Source organism: Homo sapiens, chromosome 17 (assembly GCF_000001405.40).
Source record: "Homo sapiens chromosome 17, GRCh38.p14 Primary Assembly".
Taxonomy (NCBI): domain Eukaryota; kingdom Metazoa; phylum Chordata; class Mammalia; order Primates; family Hominidae; genus Homo; species Homo sapiens.
Genome location: NC_000017.11, coordinates 14,333,262 through 14,350,554, shown reverse-complemented (window position 1 = coordinate 14,350,554; position 17,293 = coordinate 14,333,262). Strand labels below are relative to the sequence as shown.

Sequence of the window (17,293 nt, the reverse complement as noted above, 5' to 3'; positions counted from 1 at the left end):
TCTGACTGACGAACTTACACCCTGTTCTAGTTAAGTCAGGGTTTTCTTTCCACTGCTTTCCCACAATGCTAGACTAATTTTCAACTCCATGCCTCTCCGAGGCATTTTCTTAGTATGAGGCACTGTGTTTCCAAAAATGTCAGAAAACCAAGAGAACTGCGAGAGATGATTTGGAGGTGGGGAGTGGGCGCCCACATTTTAGGCATACATAGAACTAACAATAAATAACATTGAGTAAGTCATTCCTTCACCAAGTCCCATTTATTCTTCATGGCAAGATGCAAATCTCACTTATGTGCCAGTCTTGAACAGTAGAATCTTTGCCAGGAGCAGCGAGTGAGCCTAAGGTAAGGCTAGTGTGGCTTTAGTGATACTACCTGGGCTAGAAATTAACAGCATTGCTTTGCTTTCATTGTGCCTTTTAAAAATGATGATCTCCTCCTGTTGGCAAGACATCATGGCTTTTTACTTAAAATATGTTTCCTTTTAAAGTTAAGTAAAATCAGAGAGTGAATCAAATGGTTAAAGTAGCAAATACTAATTGTACAGATGGTGTGCCAGGTAAAAAGTAAGCAGAAGGTAGTTTGAGACGGATTAAAGACACAGAAATGCTGCCTCGTCTGAGTCCTTTCTGTCTCTGTCTTACAGATAAGGATCTCCACCTAATAGGAGAACACTCTGCAAAAGTGAGAAGAGAAGGCACCTATTATCAAAATCCATCCAGCCATAGGTGCTGTGCTCACATTGCACCTGTCGTGTGACATGTGGCTGCCCATGCACACGAACCTGTGGCACTGAAAGACCGGGGCAGGCAGCGGCTTCAGTATTCTTGGAATCCTGTGTAATAGACAGCACTTCCTGGGGGCTGCGGGGAAGCTCCACCAAGACACACGAGCCCCTCTCGCCGATCTTGTCTTCAGAGTCATTTATAAAAAAAAAATCCACCCTAAATGCTTGTGGATTAGTTGTATATTGGATTGGACCCTTTAAAATCTGAAAGATCAGCTTGCCCTCAGAATGACTCTGTGTGTGTGTGTGTGTGTGTGTGTGTGTGTGTGTGTGTGCGCATGCACGCACATGGGATTATTAAACAAAATATTGCTACCTTGTCCTTCTGTAATACTTAAGAAAACATAAAGGTACCCACATGTTGGCAAAATATATTTTATTTGTTCATACAAAGAAATAGTATGAATTACCAGAATTTCACTTGCCTAGAAACATCTTTCTCTGTGTAAAATTAATTTGTGTTATACATAGGACAAAATACTTGATTTAATTTTTTGTACATATTGGCTATCCTAACATCCAAGTTATCGAAGACATACTGCTAGAATTTGCACAGTATTTTAGATTACTTGGTTGAATGAGACTCAGTGATAAATTAATGTCACAAAAGTGAGAAAACATCTAACCACACCTTTAAGTTTTATTGGCCATCCTCTTGATAAGCTGAAAAGTCACATTAGCTTCTGTGTCAGCATCTTAGATACGTACTGTTTCTAGTTTATTGGAATCTTCCATTTTCCTTTTTTACAAAAATATCCTGGCAGGATCTGAAACTGTTTCTCCAAATGTCTAAAATATATCTGTCACACAAAATGACCCCCAAAGAGAATCCTGGGAAGAAAACAATTTCTCCTCCTCCATCATCCAATTAAGTATTTATTAAACAGTCACTATACTTAAAATACCTTTCCAGGTACCACCTACTAAGTTAACAGACTACTGTTCAAACACCGCAAAGAAAGCATGAACTAGATAGAAACAAGAAAAACCTCAATTTTTTTTTGTTGACCTTTTTGTTTGTTTTTACATGAGAAAAGAAACAAAACTGAGGAAAAAAAATAAAGTACTCCAATGAATATCAGAGCTTTTCGTGTAAATCGGAGGAAGTCCAAAACACGTGCCAGGACAAATTGCCGAAACAGAAAAGGGGGTTTGTCTTCTGGCAGCTAAAAAGTTAAGCCTGGTGGTCTTGCAGATTGCTAGAACAGGAAGAAATCTAAGTCTTATGTTACCTAACTTCTGCAGCAGGAAGATGACCGTCCGATGATGGGGTGCAAGCTCCGGCAGATGCTGCAACCAGATCTGTTAGGAACTTTAAACCATCAGACCCTTGCAGACCCTTATGAGGAGATGCACATGATGTTTGATTTATTTGTCTTACATAGAAAAACTTGCTCTATTCCATCAGTACTGATTATGGACATCTGTTTGAATTCAAGGATTTGACCCAGAATAGAATTTTGACCCACTTCAGTGTTCGTGACTAAATGACCCTCCTTCTACCAGAAAATTTCCTGTTTCAGTTTTAAGGCAGGGAATAAACAACTTAATAAAAAATTGTCCAGCTTGGAAAGAGGGCGGGGACCTGAAGGGGAGGGAAAAGCTCCTGTGTGTTTTCCTATGGCTTTGTTGCATACTCTTCTCTGAACTCTTCTGCAGTTCCACATCAACAGCCACATCAGACCATCAGAATGATCAGAAAGTAGACAGGGCAAGACCAGGTGAAGGACTTGGATACTGCCTTTTACTTCAAGCCATGTTATGCTGTAAACCGAAAAGAGGTGTTCTCAGTTTGATTTCAAATAAATGAAAAAATACACAACCAATTAGCACCCTTATGCAGGTGTTTTTCACAATCACTCATCAAGAAGGCAGAACCACGCTATGATTCTGGTATTCCCCTAAGTGCAGGTCCCACACTACTTTCTGGAGACAGTAAAAAAGCTACGAAATGGATAAAACATTGGAGAACAGGGAGAAACCTAAGAAATACACAGATCCCCCATGAGCTTCCTCCAAAACAGAACCTACACAATGATGGTTTGGCTGCTAAGTGTAAGCTAGCTAGATGTAGGCTAAAACTTTTGGGCAAATACATACTGGATTTTCAAGACATCACTTAAAGACCAGTGACATCTCTGATCAGTTTCTAAAAATGAAGTATCTTTTCATCTTTTCATACAATGTTCCTTATACTATCAGGCAAGTGATCCCATACAACATACAAAAGTGTCCTTTGTAACTATCCCATCCCAACCATTTTGACAATATGTATATCTTCCCACATATTCCTTGATGGAAGTATAACTGAAATCACAATTCTTTTATGGTAGAAGCATTCTGGTTTAAAAAACTGAGGTTAAATTAAACATATCATTATGTGATATTGCTATATGTTTAACCAACTGCCCCTGTATTACTATATGGCTACTCAATTGCCACTATATTGCTATCTGGTTACCCAACTGTTATAAATCAACAGAGAGGCACGGGGAGAGCATTCTGTAGAGCAGTGACAGTGCTGGTAACCCTTCTGTCAAGACCTGGCTAAAACAAGGGACAGCTGTATGAGCATCAGGCTCAAGGGTTTACAGGCAATATGGGCCCAGCTTTCCCAACCTTTTTTTGCAAGGGCCACTCTTAGTTCTTGCTGTTTGGCCACTGGCTACCACCCATATTATCACTCTAAGATATAATTCTGAGATGAGCTAGGAATTCCAAAGACGCATCAAGCTGAGGTGTCAGACTCCTTCCTCTGTCAGGCTGCCTGTCATTTTGAGGCCTTTGTCTTTTCTCCCTATTGAGGCTGTGAGCCTGCTGCCCAACACTGGCTGGCTCTGTACCTAGCAGCACCTTGGTAGACGCTGATGCCGAGGGACACAGCTGACCCCTCTGAGTCTCGACACCCAGCGCCCTTGGTTTGTGCTGGTGGCTCTGCTAGCCTACGGGATTCTTTGGTGTGTCAAAGCAGAACTGTCTGCCTGGGGAACGCAGCATGGTGTAGTTTCATGCAAATTAAAGGAGATCATCTTGATTTCTGAAGCAGCACCCAGGCATCTCACACATGTGACCTGGGAAAGACGGGGCAACAATCTACATACACTTCAAACTGGTTAATGAACCAGGGAATGGGGCAGAGGAGGACACAGGGCCATCCTGCAAAATCAAAAGCTGAAGTCAACAGACCCTACCATTCTGACTCTAGAAGGATGTGGATAGCGGGCGCAGTGGCTCACGCCTATAATCCCAACACTTTGGAGGCCAAGGCAGGCGGATCACCTGAGGTCGGGAGTTTGATACCAGCCTGACCAACATGAAGAAACCCCGTCTCTACTAAAAATACAAAATTAGCCAGGCATGGTGGTGCATGCCTGTAATCCCAGATACTTGGGAGGCTGAGACAGGAGAATCGCTTGAACCGGGAGCCAGAGGTTGTGGTAAGCATATATCACACCATTACGCCCCAGCCTGGGCAACAAGAGCAAGACTCCATCTCAAAAAAAAAAAAAAAAAAAAAAGAAAAAAAAAGGATGTGGATGTCCCTGTAAAGGGAGTGAGAAATTTCCCCATGTGCTGAATGGAGGGAGGGACAGAACCCTAGGGCTGTGGCTTTCAGGCTACATCATTGGACGGGACACCACATCTGCAAGGAGGCTGCTGCATGAGGCCTGCCCTTCAGAATACAGCCCTGTTGAGGCAGCTCAGCGTTCCTACGAGGTACACAGGCAGGAAGAGACAGGGAAGCTGGAATGGGAGACCCAAGACAAGACAAGGAGGCAGCAACTGGAGAACTCAGACGGTGACTGAAGGCTGAATACCCGTAACAACAAAAATCTCAAGTTGTGCTTTTCTTTGTTTTAAATATAACAGGTAGGGGAGAAGAAAAAATAGAAGCACCATCAATTGTGAAGAAGAGAACGAAATACTAGAGTTAAACACTTTGGAATGTTAACAGATTATGAAGCTAACTCTCTAAAGAGTGTGGCTAGGCAGCTTAGTGAATTAATTGCTTATGAATTAAAAATAAATTATTATAAAATAGATTTCTGTACATTTTACATACATATAATCTCTGTCAATAGATAAGCCACGTGGGTAAGGTACATAGCCCGGGTCTGCTCAATCCCAGCCAAAGTCGTGCCCGGTCATCTGGTAGAACTTGAGGTTGAAAGGCCGGTAGAACTCGCGCAGCCTGCGCACCACCTCGCGGTCGATCTCAGGATGGGTCCTGCCCTTGGTCTTGCCCAGGCAATGGGGCCGGCTGCTGCCCTCCGCCTTCTTCAGGCAGGGGAAGCCCTTGGTCTTGTTGAAGTAGAAGTGCTTGTCCGTGATGATCCTCTTGAGGCCCAGGAAGTCTTGCACGCGGCCCAGCTCCCCGGCCGGGTCGCTGATGAGCCGCTCGCCGCTCACGAAGAGCATCTGGCGGATGGGGAAGTGGCGCAGCCAGTGCTCCAGGTGCTTGGCGTAGATGCCGATCTGGATGGCGCTCCACGACGTGTCGATGAGGCCCGCTGTCCTGTTTTTGAACGTCAAGCTCTCGAAGGTGGGGATGTCGGGCCGCTTGGACAGCGTCTGCGTGTAGTCCGAGATGGCCCTGGTCACCGGGTCCCGCACCACCACGATGAGCTTGGTGTCCTTGGACATGGCCGAGATGCGCGCAGGGGCCTCCCGCGTGACGAAGTAACTGGGCGTCTTCTCCATGGTGATCTGCCCGTCCAGGGTTCTGGGCATCAGGTCCCTGAGAAACGCAAGCAAACAAACCGGGATCAGAAGGTGACGCCTCTCTGGCCACACGTCTTAAGGTCACGACTTCTAATCCCAGCTCCCTCTTATTTCTGGAAGCAGTGGTAGAAACATGTAAAATGCAAGTAGAACTTTAGAGCTGAAAGGTAGATTAGCATCCCACCTGGTTTGGAGGGCAGGTACCATCTACCGGAAAACACGAAGGCCCCTTCATGCAAGGTAGAAAGGGCAAGCTATCTGTTTCTCTAAGATCCTCTTGTGGGTATAACCTTTCCCTTATTTTCCCAGCTTTCAGATTGCCCCAAGCATCTGAAGCCAAAATACAAAAGCCTTTGGCCTCTGATAAGTGCCTTTCCTAAAACTATAGCACCCGGGACTCCCAGAGATTTCACTGTCCATGAGTCCTGCCACTAGTCTGCCTTCTCACACTTACCAAACCCAGGCAGATGTGCCATGGGCACTGGAAGGAAAACATCCCTCGGGTCCCGCCCAGTTGTTCCGGCTTTAACACAGTGACTGCTGACAAAGCCTTTACTTCACAAAGCAACAAAGCACACAGCAGCCAAAAAATCCAGTGAAATCAGGTAAGTAAACTGATACAAACATGCCACGAGGAAATTCCCAAGACACAACTCTAGAAGCCTCCAAAAATACTTTAGAGGGGTACTATGCTCACTACCTGGGTGATGGGATCAACGGTACCCCAAACGTCAGCATCATGCAATATACCTATGTAACAAATTCCTGCACATGCATCCCCTGAATCTAAAATAAAAGCTGAAGTTATAAAACAACAACAACGATAATAATAATAAAAAAACCAGGCTGGGCACAGTGGCTCACGCCATTAATCCCAGCACTTTGGGAGGCAGAGGCGGGTGGATCACCTGAGGTCAGGAGATTGAAACCAGCCTGGACAAAATGGCAAAACCCCGTCTCTACTAAAAGCTAAAAAACAATTAACTGGGTGTGGTGGTGCATGTCTGGAATCCCAGCTACTTGGGAGGCTGAGGCAGGAGAATTGCTGGAACCAGGGAGGCAGAGGTTGCAGTGAGTTGAGATGGTGCTATTGCACTCCAGCCTGGGCAACAAGAGGGAAACTCCGTCTCAGAAAAAAAAAAAAAAGAAAGAAATTAAGTGAGGTTAGATCCAGCAATCCCATTTCTGGATAGATATACACAGGAATTGAAATTGGTATGTCAAAGAGATATCTGCATTTTCCTATTCATTTTATAATAGCATTATTCAAAATTGACAAGATATGGAAGCAACTTAAGTGTCTATCAATGGAGAATAGATTTTTTAAGTGTAGTATATATGCACAATGAAATATTATACAGCCTTTAAAAAGAAGGAAATTCTGCCATTTGCAATAACATGAATGCAACTGGAAGACATTATGCTAAGCGAAATAAATCAGGCACAGAAAGACAAATCCTGTGTTATCTCATTTATATGTAGAATCTAAAAAAGTTGATCTCACAGAAAAAGAGTAAAAAGGTGGTTACCAGAGGCTGGTTGGGGGATTAAAGGGAAGATGATGAAAGACAAGATGTTGATCAGGGGGTTCTAAGTTTCAGTTAGACTGGAGAAATAAGTTGTAGGGATCTATTTCACTGCACAGTGACCACAGTTAATAATAATATGTTGTGTATTTCAAATCTTCTTCAAAAACAGATTTTCCAGTTTCTTACCACACACAAAAAATGATAAGTTGGTGAGGTGATGGATATGTTAATTTGCTTGATTGAATCTTTCTTTTCTTTTCTTTTTTTTTTTTTGAGACAGAGTCTCGCTCTGTCACCCAGGCTGGAGTGCAGTGGTGCGATCTCGGCTCACTGCAACCTCCGCCTCTCGGGTTCAAGCAATTCTCCTGCCTCAACCTTCTGAGTACCTGGGACTACAGGCGCCCACCACCACACCTGGCTAATTTTTGTATTTTTGGTAGAGATGGGGTTTCACCATGTTGGCCAGGATGGTCTCAATCTCCTGACCTCGTGATCCACCCGCCTTGGCCTCCCAAAGTGCTGGGATTACAGGCGTGAGCCACTGCTCCCGGCCATTGATTAAATCTTTCTAGAATGTAAACGTAGATCAAAATATCATATTGTACCCCCAAAATATGCACAATTATTTATCACATATATTCTTTTAAAGGAAAAAAATTAAATGAAATTCATAAAGCTGACTCAGTTTAGCTTAAATTAGCTTCTTAAATTAGTTAAGGAATTTGGGATCTAAAGTCAGACTGCCTGGGTTTAAATTCTGGCTCTACCACTTATAAGTTATGTCACTTTGAATACTTTATTTAACTTTTCTGGGCGTCTTTTTCTCATCCACAAAAATGGAGCCACCAATACGTATTCATGGAAGTTTAATGAGGATTAAACAATTAATAATTATAACATGCTTAGAATACACCTGACATATGGAATATACTTAACAAATATCAGCCACTACTACTGTCATTATTATTATCATTATTAAGTTGCTCAATACACAGTTTACGGCATATCATATGACCAAAATTCAGCATATGTGTATAAGCGCTAGTTTGTATACACCAAAAGGAGGTGTGTTAACTAAGTGGATACTAAGCTTTGATCACAGATCTACAATCAGAAAGTTATTATTTACAAGTCGGACAATTTATTGGGTGCCTGCTATTATTCTAGATACCATGTTAGAGGCTATATCATCTATTAGCTATCTACTATGGAATAGAGATTTCCAACTGATTCCTGCCTAGGCACAGGAATTAAAAGGAAAAAAAAAAGAGAATTTCCACATTATTTTTGACCAAATATTTACCTCTCAGTAAGGCATTCTAAGCTTCAAGCCATCTTAATCCACTGAGACCACAATTCCCCTATCTAGCACCGATACGGAAACCATAGAAACTTGATCACAGGAGCCAGAAAAGGCAATTCCCTAGAGGGCGGGCACTCCTTCTTGCAGACTGCCAACAGGGAGTTAGAAGAAGAGTGCTTTTCCCTTAAGGAAGACTGCCTCAGCAGCACTGGAGTCAGCCTTGATTTAAGCTAAAGCTGGATTGACCCACTTTGTCCATTAACCACTTAAATTAATGTAGCAGTGTCATCAGGCTAATGTGATTGAGGATTAAAGAGAGTCTCGGCTCGCAACTTATTTTGCATTTGACTAAAAAGCAGGTCAAGTCAGATAAAGCCCAAGTTCTTTTTCCCCTGTGTTAAGCCATCTGCAACTAGACAGTTTACAAGACATTAATATTCAGAATCAAAGCATTATCACCACGATTGAAGGAATACCAAACCCCAAGGTTCTTCGGGGCCATTGCAGAGAAGGGGGTTTAGGGGTATCTCGCTGTCAGTCTGACTTAGCCTGGGCTTGGAAGTCAGGCCACCGAGTCTGACTCTCAGCACCTCCATTTACTAACGTGTGTGAACCTGGGGAACACATCACTTAATCTGTCCATGCTGCAGTTTTCTCATCTGAATAATGAAAAAAAAAAAAGATGATGTCTGCCTCCTAGGGCTTTTGAAAGAACTGCAAAGTTAGCTTTGGTACCCAGCCTGGTACCTAGTAGGCTGTTACAAAAATGTTATCAATTATCTTCTGTTGACAGGATCTTGGAAAGGATGTAAGGAAGCAAGACTTGTGCACAGGGGACTTGTCACTCATTCAGTTCTACCCCACAGGGGGGCAATGAGGGAGGTTTGGCTCCTGGAAGAGGCTAAGTGCAGGAATGCTGGATTCTGCTCTCAGCCTGCCTGGGGTCCACAACCTTCCCTGAACTCTGCAGCCGGAATTTCCTCACTGGCCCTAGAGAAGGGCTTGTCAGTAGCTGAACAGAATGCTAAATCGGCAATTGTGTATAGGAAACCACATAATAAAGCTAGTAAAAAGGAAATGAGAGATCAACCATAAATAAAGATTCCCTGAGCCGTGGGCAGATTTACTGTGCTCGACCGCCTGCTGGTCCCACAACCCATATGAGGGCCCCTCTCCCCAGGACAGTCTGGTGTTTGTCCACATGTGTCAGAAAGCACTCAAGGAGCCTCAGAATTTATTTTGATTATTGTCAAAATAACTGAGCCAGGGGAACTACTGCTGTGATAAAGAGACTTGGCATCTCCCAAGATGCCAAGAAAAAAATTACTCAGCCGGGCTTGGTGGCTCACGCCTGGAATCCCAGCACTTTAGGAGGCTGAGGTGGGTGGTTCACTTGAGGTCAGGAGTTCAAGACCAGCCTGGCCAACATGGTGAAACCTCGTCTCTCCTAAAAATACAAAAATTAGCTGAGCGTGGTGGCACATGCCTGTAATCCTGGCTACTCGGGAGGCTGAGACAGGAGAATCTCTTGAACCTGGGAGGCGGAGGTTGCAGTGAGCTGAGATCGCGCCACTGCACTCCATCCTGGGCAACAGAGTGAGACTCTGTCTCAAAAGAAAAAAAAGAAAAGAGTAATTAATCACGCTTGTTAAATCACAGCAGCAAAGACTTTATTCAGGACCATCATGATAGGTATAGAGACCCACTGCAGTGGAGTCTTGCAGTGATGGGGAGACAGATTGGCCTCAACTCGGAATACAGCATGGGCAAGTGGGGTTTAGAGCCAAGGAGCAGGGTGGGGGTCAGTGGATAGAAACTTACTACGAGGCGCCATGAGGGGTAAGGGGAATTCTGGCTAAACCGATCTAATAGGACTCTCCCTGAAGACTGGCCAAAGTGACCAGACATCACCTGGGGGCTGGTGGAGGCTGAGGAACCTGATAAGATATCAAGGGTGAGGAGTTCATGCCAAAATGACTTATCAGGGGCCTTTGCTAAGATTGGGTTTTACAAGGAAGTGCACAGGAGGTCCTGGGAGAAGGTTCAGGAGGCGGACTGAAGTTTGGTCAAGCAAAGAACCTTTGTGACCCCAAGTGAGAAGCATGGCAGGCCTGAGAAGTGTGTGAGCGGCTCCTGGCACAGAATCATCCAGGCAAGTCCCTCTTTGCCCCTTTGGCTGCTCTTCTTCTGCCACCCTCACCCTACAACCGCGCAGTCCTGGAGTCAAGTTCTTTCCATTCACTAACTGGGCACACCTTCCTCTTCCTCTGCCCCTCCTCTGGGCACACTTTCCTGCCCTCACTCTCAGAAACCTCTCTGATCTCAACAGTGGCACACAGAAGAAAGGATGAGGATGTGGCCGAGGGTAAGACCCCCTCACATGGAATCTGTGTGCCCATCCCAGCAACCTCAGCAGCCTGTCCAGCCCCAGGCTGGCCTCCAGAGTGAGCACATGATGCAGGTTAATTGAGTCACTCATTATGAAAACCAGTTTCTCAAAGGGATAGTCAGAGCTCATAATTATATAGCGCCCTGGAGCTTGCAAACTTTCACCTGCTTTATCACCTACTTTAACGCCTTTGTGGTAGTTATTGTAATCTCCAATTCAAATGAAGACACTGAGTCTAAAGGAGAGAGGGTGACTTGCTTGGAGATGGGTCACCAGCTGCAGGTCAGAGAGTTGGGACTTGTAGTCAGCTCTCCTGATGGGCCTTCTTCCATTCATGATGATCCTCTCTTAACCCTCCTTTGCTTCTTCTTAATATGATTTAGAACATGTAGAGCTACACACCTGTCCTCTCTTTAAATAGATTCCTGTATTTTTTTCTTTCATTCATACATTAGTAGCCTAATAGGTATTTCAGTGTTAATCAGATCACTGCCGATCATAATTGTTCAAATAGGCGTCCAATTTCGAAACAATAAGGCTCTTTGGTTTACATGATCCCATTGTTAACTGCCTTCTATGAGGCCTGGAAAATCACCAATCATTGCAACAGCACCTCCCCTCCAGCAACCCTGGCCCCGCCTCTTCTTCCCCTCTTTACCACGTGGGCAGGAAGGGATACCTTTTTGAAAAGCACGTAAACCTGGCACATATCACTAATAGATGTTTGTGAGGCTGATGGGGCTAGACAGCATCTCCAGTCCAAAGCTAAGGAAGACACAATGCTCACAGCCCACAAGAGTATTCCTTGGGACAAGCCTAGGAGATACTAACCAGGTATGTGTGCCCACATGAACACAGGGTGACAGAACCCAAGAAAGATCCTACTTCTTTAATTAAACCTAAGGGCAAGGCAGGCTTGTCACCCCATTAAGATTTGGGGATGACAAGCACAATGAACTTCCAGGACCACCAGTGGCCTCAAAAAACTGGGCCACAGTGCATGATTCTGAGAACCAGGAGGATTTGGAGTATTTCAGGCTTTCAATTTGTTTAAGGATATTTCAAGAAAGGTATAAGCCAGGCTGGGTGTGCTGGCTCACACCTGTAATCCCAGCATTATGGGAGGCTAAGGCAGCTGGATCACCTGAGGTCAGGAGTTCGAGACCAGCCTGGCCAACATGTAAAAACCTAATCTCTACTAAAAATACAAAAATTAGCCAGGCGCAGTGGCACACACCTGTAATCTCAGCTACTTGGGAGGCTGAGGCAGGAGAATCACTTGAACCTGGGACGCAGAGGTTGCAGTGAGCCGAGATGGTGCCATTGCACTCCAGCCTGGGCAACAAGAGCAAAACTGCATCTCAAAAAACAAACAAACCAAAACAAAGAAAGGTATATGGGCTGGGCGTGTTGGCTCACATCTGTAATCCTAGCACTTTGGGAGGCCAAGGTGGGCAGATCACAAGGTCAGGAGATCGAGACCGTCCTGGCTAACATGATGAAACCCCATCTCTACTAAAATACAAAAAATTAGCCGGGCGTGGCGGCACGCACCTGTAGTCCCAGTCACTCCGGAGGCTGAGGCAGGAGAATCACTTGAACCTGAGAGGTGGAGGTTGCAGTGAGCTGAGATTGCACCACTGCACTCCAGCCTGGTGACAGAACAAGACTCCGTCTAAAACAAATGGTATACGCCACCTCTGTGGCACTCAGTTCCATCCCTGGAAGCATTTTAAATCATGCAGGGTGCTTTTAACTGGCGTTATATGCCTGGCCCCTCCCCACACCCATTGAATCAGGCCCTGGATGGGTGGGGCTTCAACATGGGATTCTTTTAGATGATTCTAATGTGCAAGCAGGACTGGAAACCATTATGCTGTGGCATCTGTGGGCCTGGAACTTGTCATAATCTAGTCATGTATTCTGCTGATATTCATGTGCACCTAAGTGGAGATACTATGTGGGTATAGAGGTCCACCTTCGTGGGGGGAAAAAATGAGAAGACAACATTGTCAGCAGAACTGAAAGTTGTTCAGCTAATCCAAGACTAGCTATTTGAGTCATGGCTAGAGGAGTGAAGGTCACACGCTCAGCTGCCTGTAGATCACCTCCCAGGGCCAGTGAGGGCTTGTGTCCTGATGGTCTACAAACTGCAGAGAAAAGAACAAATCCATTCCAATCAGGCAGGTCAGGTGCAATGGCTCACACCTGTAATCCCAGCACTTTGGAGGCTGAGGTGGGCAGATTACCTGAGGCCAGGAGTTCAAGACCAGCCTGGCCAACATGACGAAACCCAGTCTCTACTAAAAATACAAAAAAAAAAAAAAATTAGCCAGGCATGATGGCGGGCTCCTGTAATTCCAGCTATTCAGGAGGCTGAGGCAGGAGAGTCACTTGAACCTGGGAGATGGAGGTTGCAGTGAGCCGAGATCCTGACACTGCACTCCAGCCTGGGCAACGGAGAGAGACTCCATCTCAAAAAAAAAAAAATCCAATCAGGATAAGATACTTGTTGCCCCTAAACACACACACACACACCCCTCTGAGAGTTGGTTACCAGATATGAATCAGGCTACCAGTAAAACAAAACAAATGAAAGGAAACTAGAAGAAAGATAAGTCCACCTCTACTGGTGTGATAAAGAAAAGCTAACAGAGGTATCTAATTCTTTCATCATCAAAAGTTAAATAATATTACCCTAAGCAGAAGAAAAACAGACAGGTAAAGAATAATACTAGTATTAGATTGTCTAATTTATGCTTGTATAAGAGTTTGTGGCTGCAAATGAATCTCAGTGCTCTTTTAGAGCATATGAATGCACTCAGCCTCTCGCCATCGGATGCCTTAAGCAGCCTCAGGACTCAACAGAGTCCCCACCAGCAAGAAGGCCCTCACCAGATGTGTCCCCAAAATCTTGGTCTTGTCAGCCTCCAGAACTGTAAGAAATAAACTCCTTTCTTTATAAATGAAAGAAAGAAAGGATGGAAGGAAGGAAAAGGAAAGAAAGACACTAAGTTCTCATTTAAAAGAAAAAAATTCCATGAAAGTAAGATGAATTAATGGCATAAATTCCTGTTTTCCTTTTTCCCAATATTGAGGCAGGATGCTCAGAATCACATTTGAAGATTTAGAATTTTCATCTGCAGTCGGAGATAGCCTCTGCCCCTTGCCTTTCCTCTCCAGAATAGAGTGGTCAGCTGAGAAGATGAGCTGACTTCCTGCCAAGTCAGTTTCCCACTGGGGAATGGCGGTCCCAGGGCTTTGGAGAAACACGAGACTTTACCACTGAACATCCCCACTCTTGCTGGGGCTCTTAAATACTGCAGCTAGAAGTGGACTATTAAAAACCAACCTTGAAGGCTAAAGGCGTAGGAAATTAAAATGAACCAGAGCAGTTCTAAAAAGCCCTATAATTCTGATGTTACCCAGTACCAAATGTTGCCCTAATATCTTCTTCTGCTTCTTCCTTTCCTCGGGTGATATCCCTCCTCCTATAGCCCAGCAATTGAAGTTACTGTTTGAACTGGTAAATTACACAACAATAAAAAAGATTATTGAAATGGGCGTAACCTAACTCACAACAGGCAAACAGATGCCTGGAAATTTACGTAAAACAGATGATGGAAGTTAATGTGCTTTAGAGAGGAGAGCAAGCTGCAGCCCACATTGAGTTGGGGTAGGCCCAGTCTTCCAAGTCAATTGAGGAAAACTGGGAAGAGCAAGGGAAACATTCACCCCACCCACTTCTCCTGGCCCGTTAGGAAAATGACTTCCTTGTTTAGTTGCAGAAATACCCCACGTTTTCTGAACTCCAACAAAGACTCTTTCTCGTTTTTTAAACTTACTGTTTAACTTAGATATAGTAAAAATCATTCTTGGTGTCCAGTTCCAAGAATTTTGACAAATGCATAGAATTGTGTAACCACCACTATCATCAAGATAGAGAACAATTCTAGCATTCCCCCAAATCCACTTATTCAGCCTCTTCCAATGAAGATTTTACAAGTTCCCTTTGAAAGGGCCAAAGGTTGCCCAAATCCTTGTTTTGACACTGCTTTGGGGAAAATATTGATTGACATGAAAGAATCATCAATAGAGACATAGAAATTTTTTTTCCTTTTTTTTTTTTGAGACAGAGTCTTGCTCTGTTGCCCTGGCTGGAGTGCAGTGGTGCGATCTCGGCTCTCTGCAACCTCCGCCTCCTCGGTTCAAGCAATTCTCCTGCCTCAGCTTCCAGAGTAGCTGAGATTACAGGTGTCGCCACCATGCCCAGCTAATTTTTGTATTTTTAGTAGAGATGGAGTTTCATCATGTTGGACAGGCTGGTGTCGAACTCCTGACCTCAACTGATCCACCCTCCTTGGCCTCCCAAAGTGTTGGGATTACAGGCATGAGCCACCGCATCTGGCCAAATTTTCATATAACTGATATATTTACTGTTGCTTTTTTTTCTTTAAAGACAAGTTATTTTTTTGAAGATATCTGCTCCTAATCGGCATGTCCCAGTGGTTACTTTTCTGGGCTTCAGCTTCCTCATCTGTAAAATTAGCTCAGCAGTGGAGTCTCCAGAGGTTTTGCCCATTCTGATAAACTGTTCTCACACCAATCCCAAGAGCTTCAGCTTTTCTGGGCCTTTCTGGGCCTCAGCTTCCTCATCTATAAAATTAGTTCAGCAGTGGAATCTGCAGAAGGTCAGCCCATTCTGATAAACTATTCTCACACCAATCCCAAGAGCACGGGACAGGAAATTGTGACGTCACATCTGCATTACCTTCCAGGAAGCCCAGGTCCAGCCTCTGAGAATTCACAAATCAAAAATGTGACAAAGAGAAATCTTTACAAGATTTCCCCCCTCCCCACTCCAAAGCAAAACATGTTCCCAGCATCTACACAGTCACAAATCTGTCTAGGAAATAAGGATGCCCCCTTAAAAAGAGCAAAGGGAATAGAGAGTGCAGTTTTTTGAGTGCCTGATAAACCGACAAACATCAGCAGCTAAACTCAAAAAGAAAACACTGGGATCCTGGGGGTTGGGTGAGGGGCATAAAGAGATGATTCACAGAATATTTTAGGGCAGTGAAACTACCCTGTAGGAAAATATCATGTAGCTTCCATGTCATTATACGTATGTCCAAACCCATAGATTATGCAACACCACCAGTGAACCCCAGTGTAAACTATGAACTTTGGGTGATAATGAGATGTCAATGTACGCTCATCTATTGTATCACTTTGGTAGGAAATATTGATAATGGGGGAGTTTATGCATGTAGGGGTTGAGTAGGAGTATATAAGAAATCCCTGATGAGCCTGGTGTGCTGGCACGCCTGTAATCTCAGTTCCTCAGAGGCCCTGAGGAAAGAGGATTGCTTAAGCCCAGGAATTTGAGGCTGTACTGGCTATAATTGCTCCTCTGAACATTCACTGCACTACAGCCTAAGCCACATAGTGAGACCATATCTCAATAAATAAATAAATATCTGTACCTTCCCTTCAATCTTGCTGTGAACCTATAAATGCTCTTAAAAATAAAGTCAATTTAAAAAAAAAAAAACCATGAAAAAACACTGGAATCTAGCAAAGATTCTTCTCCCAATCAAACGACTCAGGCTCCCCCAAACTTTTCAACTACGCCTCAACTTTTGTCATTCTCTTTGCCTCTGCAATGTCCCATTTTAGCAATAATTCTCCTGAGTTGGTTTAGCTAGAATACCCCATCCTCCATAGCTGATCACCATCGATATTTAAAGGTTCTCAGCCTTGGCCGGGCGCGGTGGCTCACGCCTGTAATCCCAACACTTTGGGAGGCTGAGGCGGGTGGATCACCTTGAGGTTAGGAGTTCAAGACCAGCCTGACCAACATGAAGAAACCCCTCTACTGAAAATAGAAACGTTAGCTGGTCGTGGTGGCACATGCCTGTAATCCCAGCTACTGGGGAGGCTGAGGCAGGAGAATCGCTTGAACCCGGGAGAGGTTGCGGTGAGCCAAGATCACACCATTGCGAGACTCTGTCTCAGAAAAAAAAGGTTCTCAGCCTCTACTATCCCCCAGGTGATGTTGGGTCACCCTGGCCTGTCTTCAGTAAGAATCTGGCTAGGTGGGTTTAGCCAGAATCCCCCGACCCCTGATGATTCCTCTTAGTAATTTTCCAACCACTGATAACCTCTCACCCCCTGCCCGAAGACATCCCCTACTCCTCCCAACACCCTACCCCGCCCCCTCACCCACAGCACCTTGGCTATAAATCCCCACTTGTCTATGCTGTATTAAGAACTGAGGCCAGTTCTGAGGTCTCTTTTCCTTTGTTGCAATAGTTGTTGAACAAAATCTGTTTTTTTTTGTTGTTTTTTTTTTGAGTCGGAGTCTCACTCGGTCACCCAGGCTGGAGTGCAGTGGTGCCATGTCAGCTCACTGCCACCTGTGCCTCCCCGGGTTCAAGCGATTCTCCTGCCTCAGCCTCCCGAGTAGCTGAGACTACAGGCGCCTGCCACCATGCTCGGCTAATTTTTTGTATTGTTAGTGGAGACGGGGTTTCACCATATTGGCCAGGCGGGTCTCAA

The 17,293-nt window shown here is 44.6% G+C and overlaps 1 protein-coding gene across 3 annotated transcripts in view; it reads right to left on the bottom strand.

Moving 5' to 3' along the window:
• Nucleotides 1-1,150: 1,150 nt before the first annotated feature.
• The window catches only part of HS3ST3B1 (heparan sulfate-glucosamine 3-sulfotransferase 3B1), a 48,324-nt gene continuing 32,181 nt past the window's right edge, over nucleotides 1,151-17,293 (bottom strand). For 2 of the 3 annotated variants that reach the window (NM_006041.3, XM_017025479.3), the window contains exon 2: nucleotides 1,151-5,527. In NM_006041.3, coding sequence (NP_006032.1) covers nucleotides 4,909-5,527 — 619 coding nt within the window. In that variant the 3' untranslated portion in view covers nucleotides 1,151-4,908. The remainder of the gene's footprint in view (nucleotides 5,528-17,293) is intronic. The other variant, NR_130138.2, reaches the window with a different exon arrangement.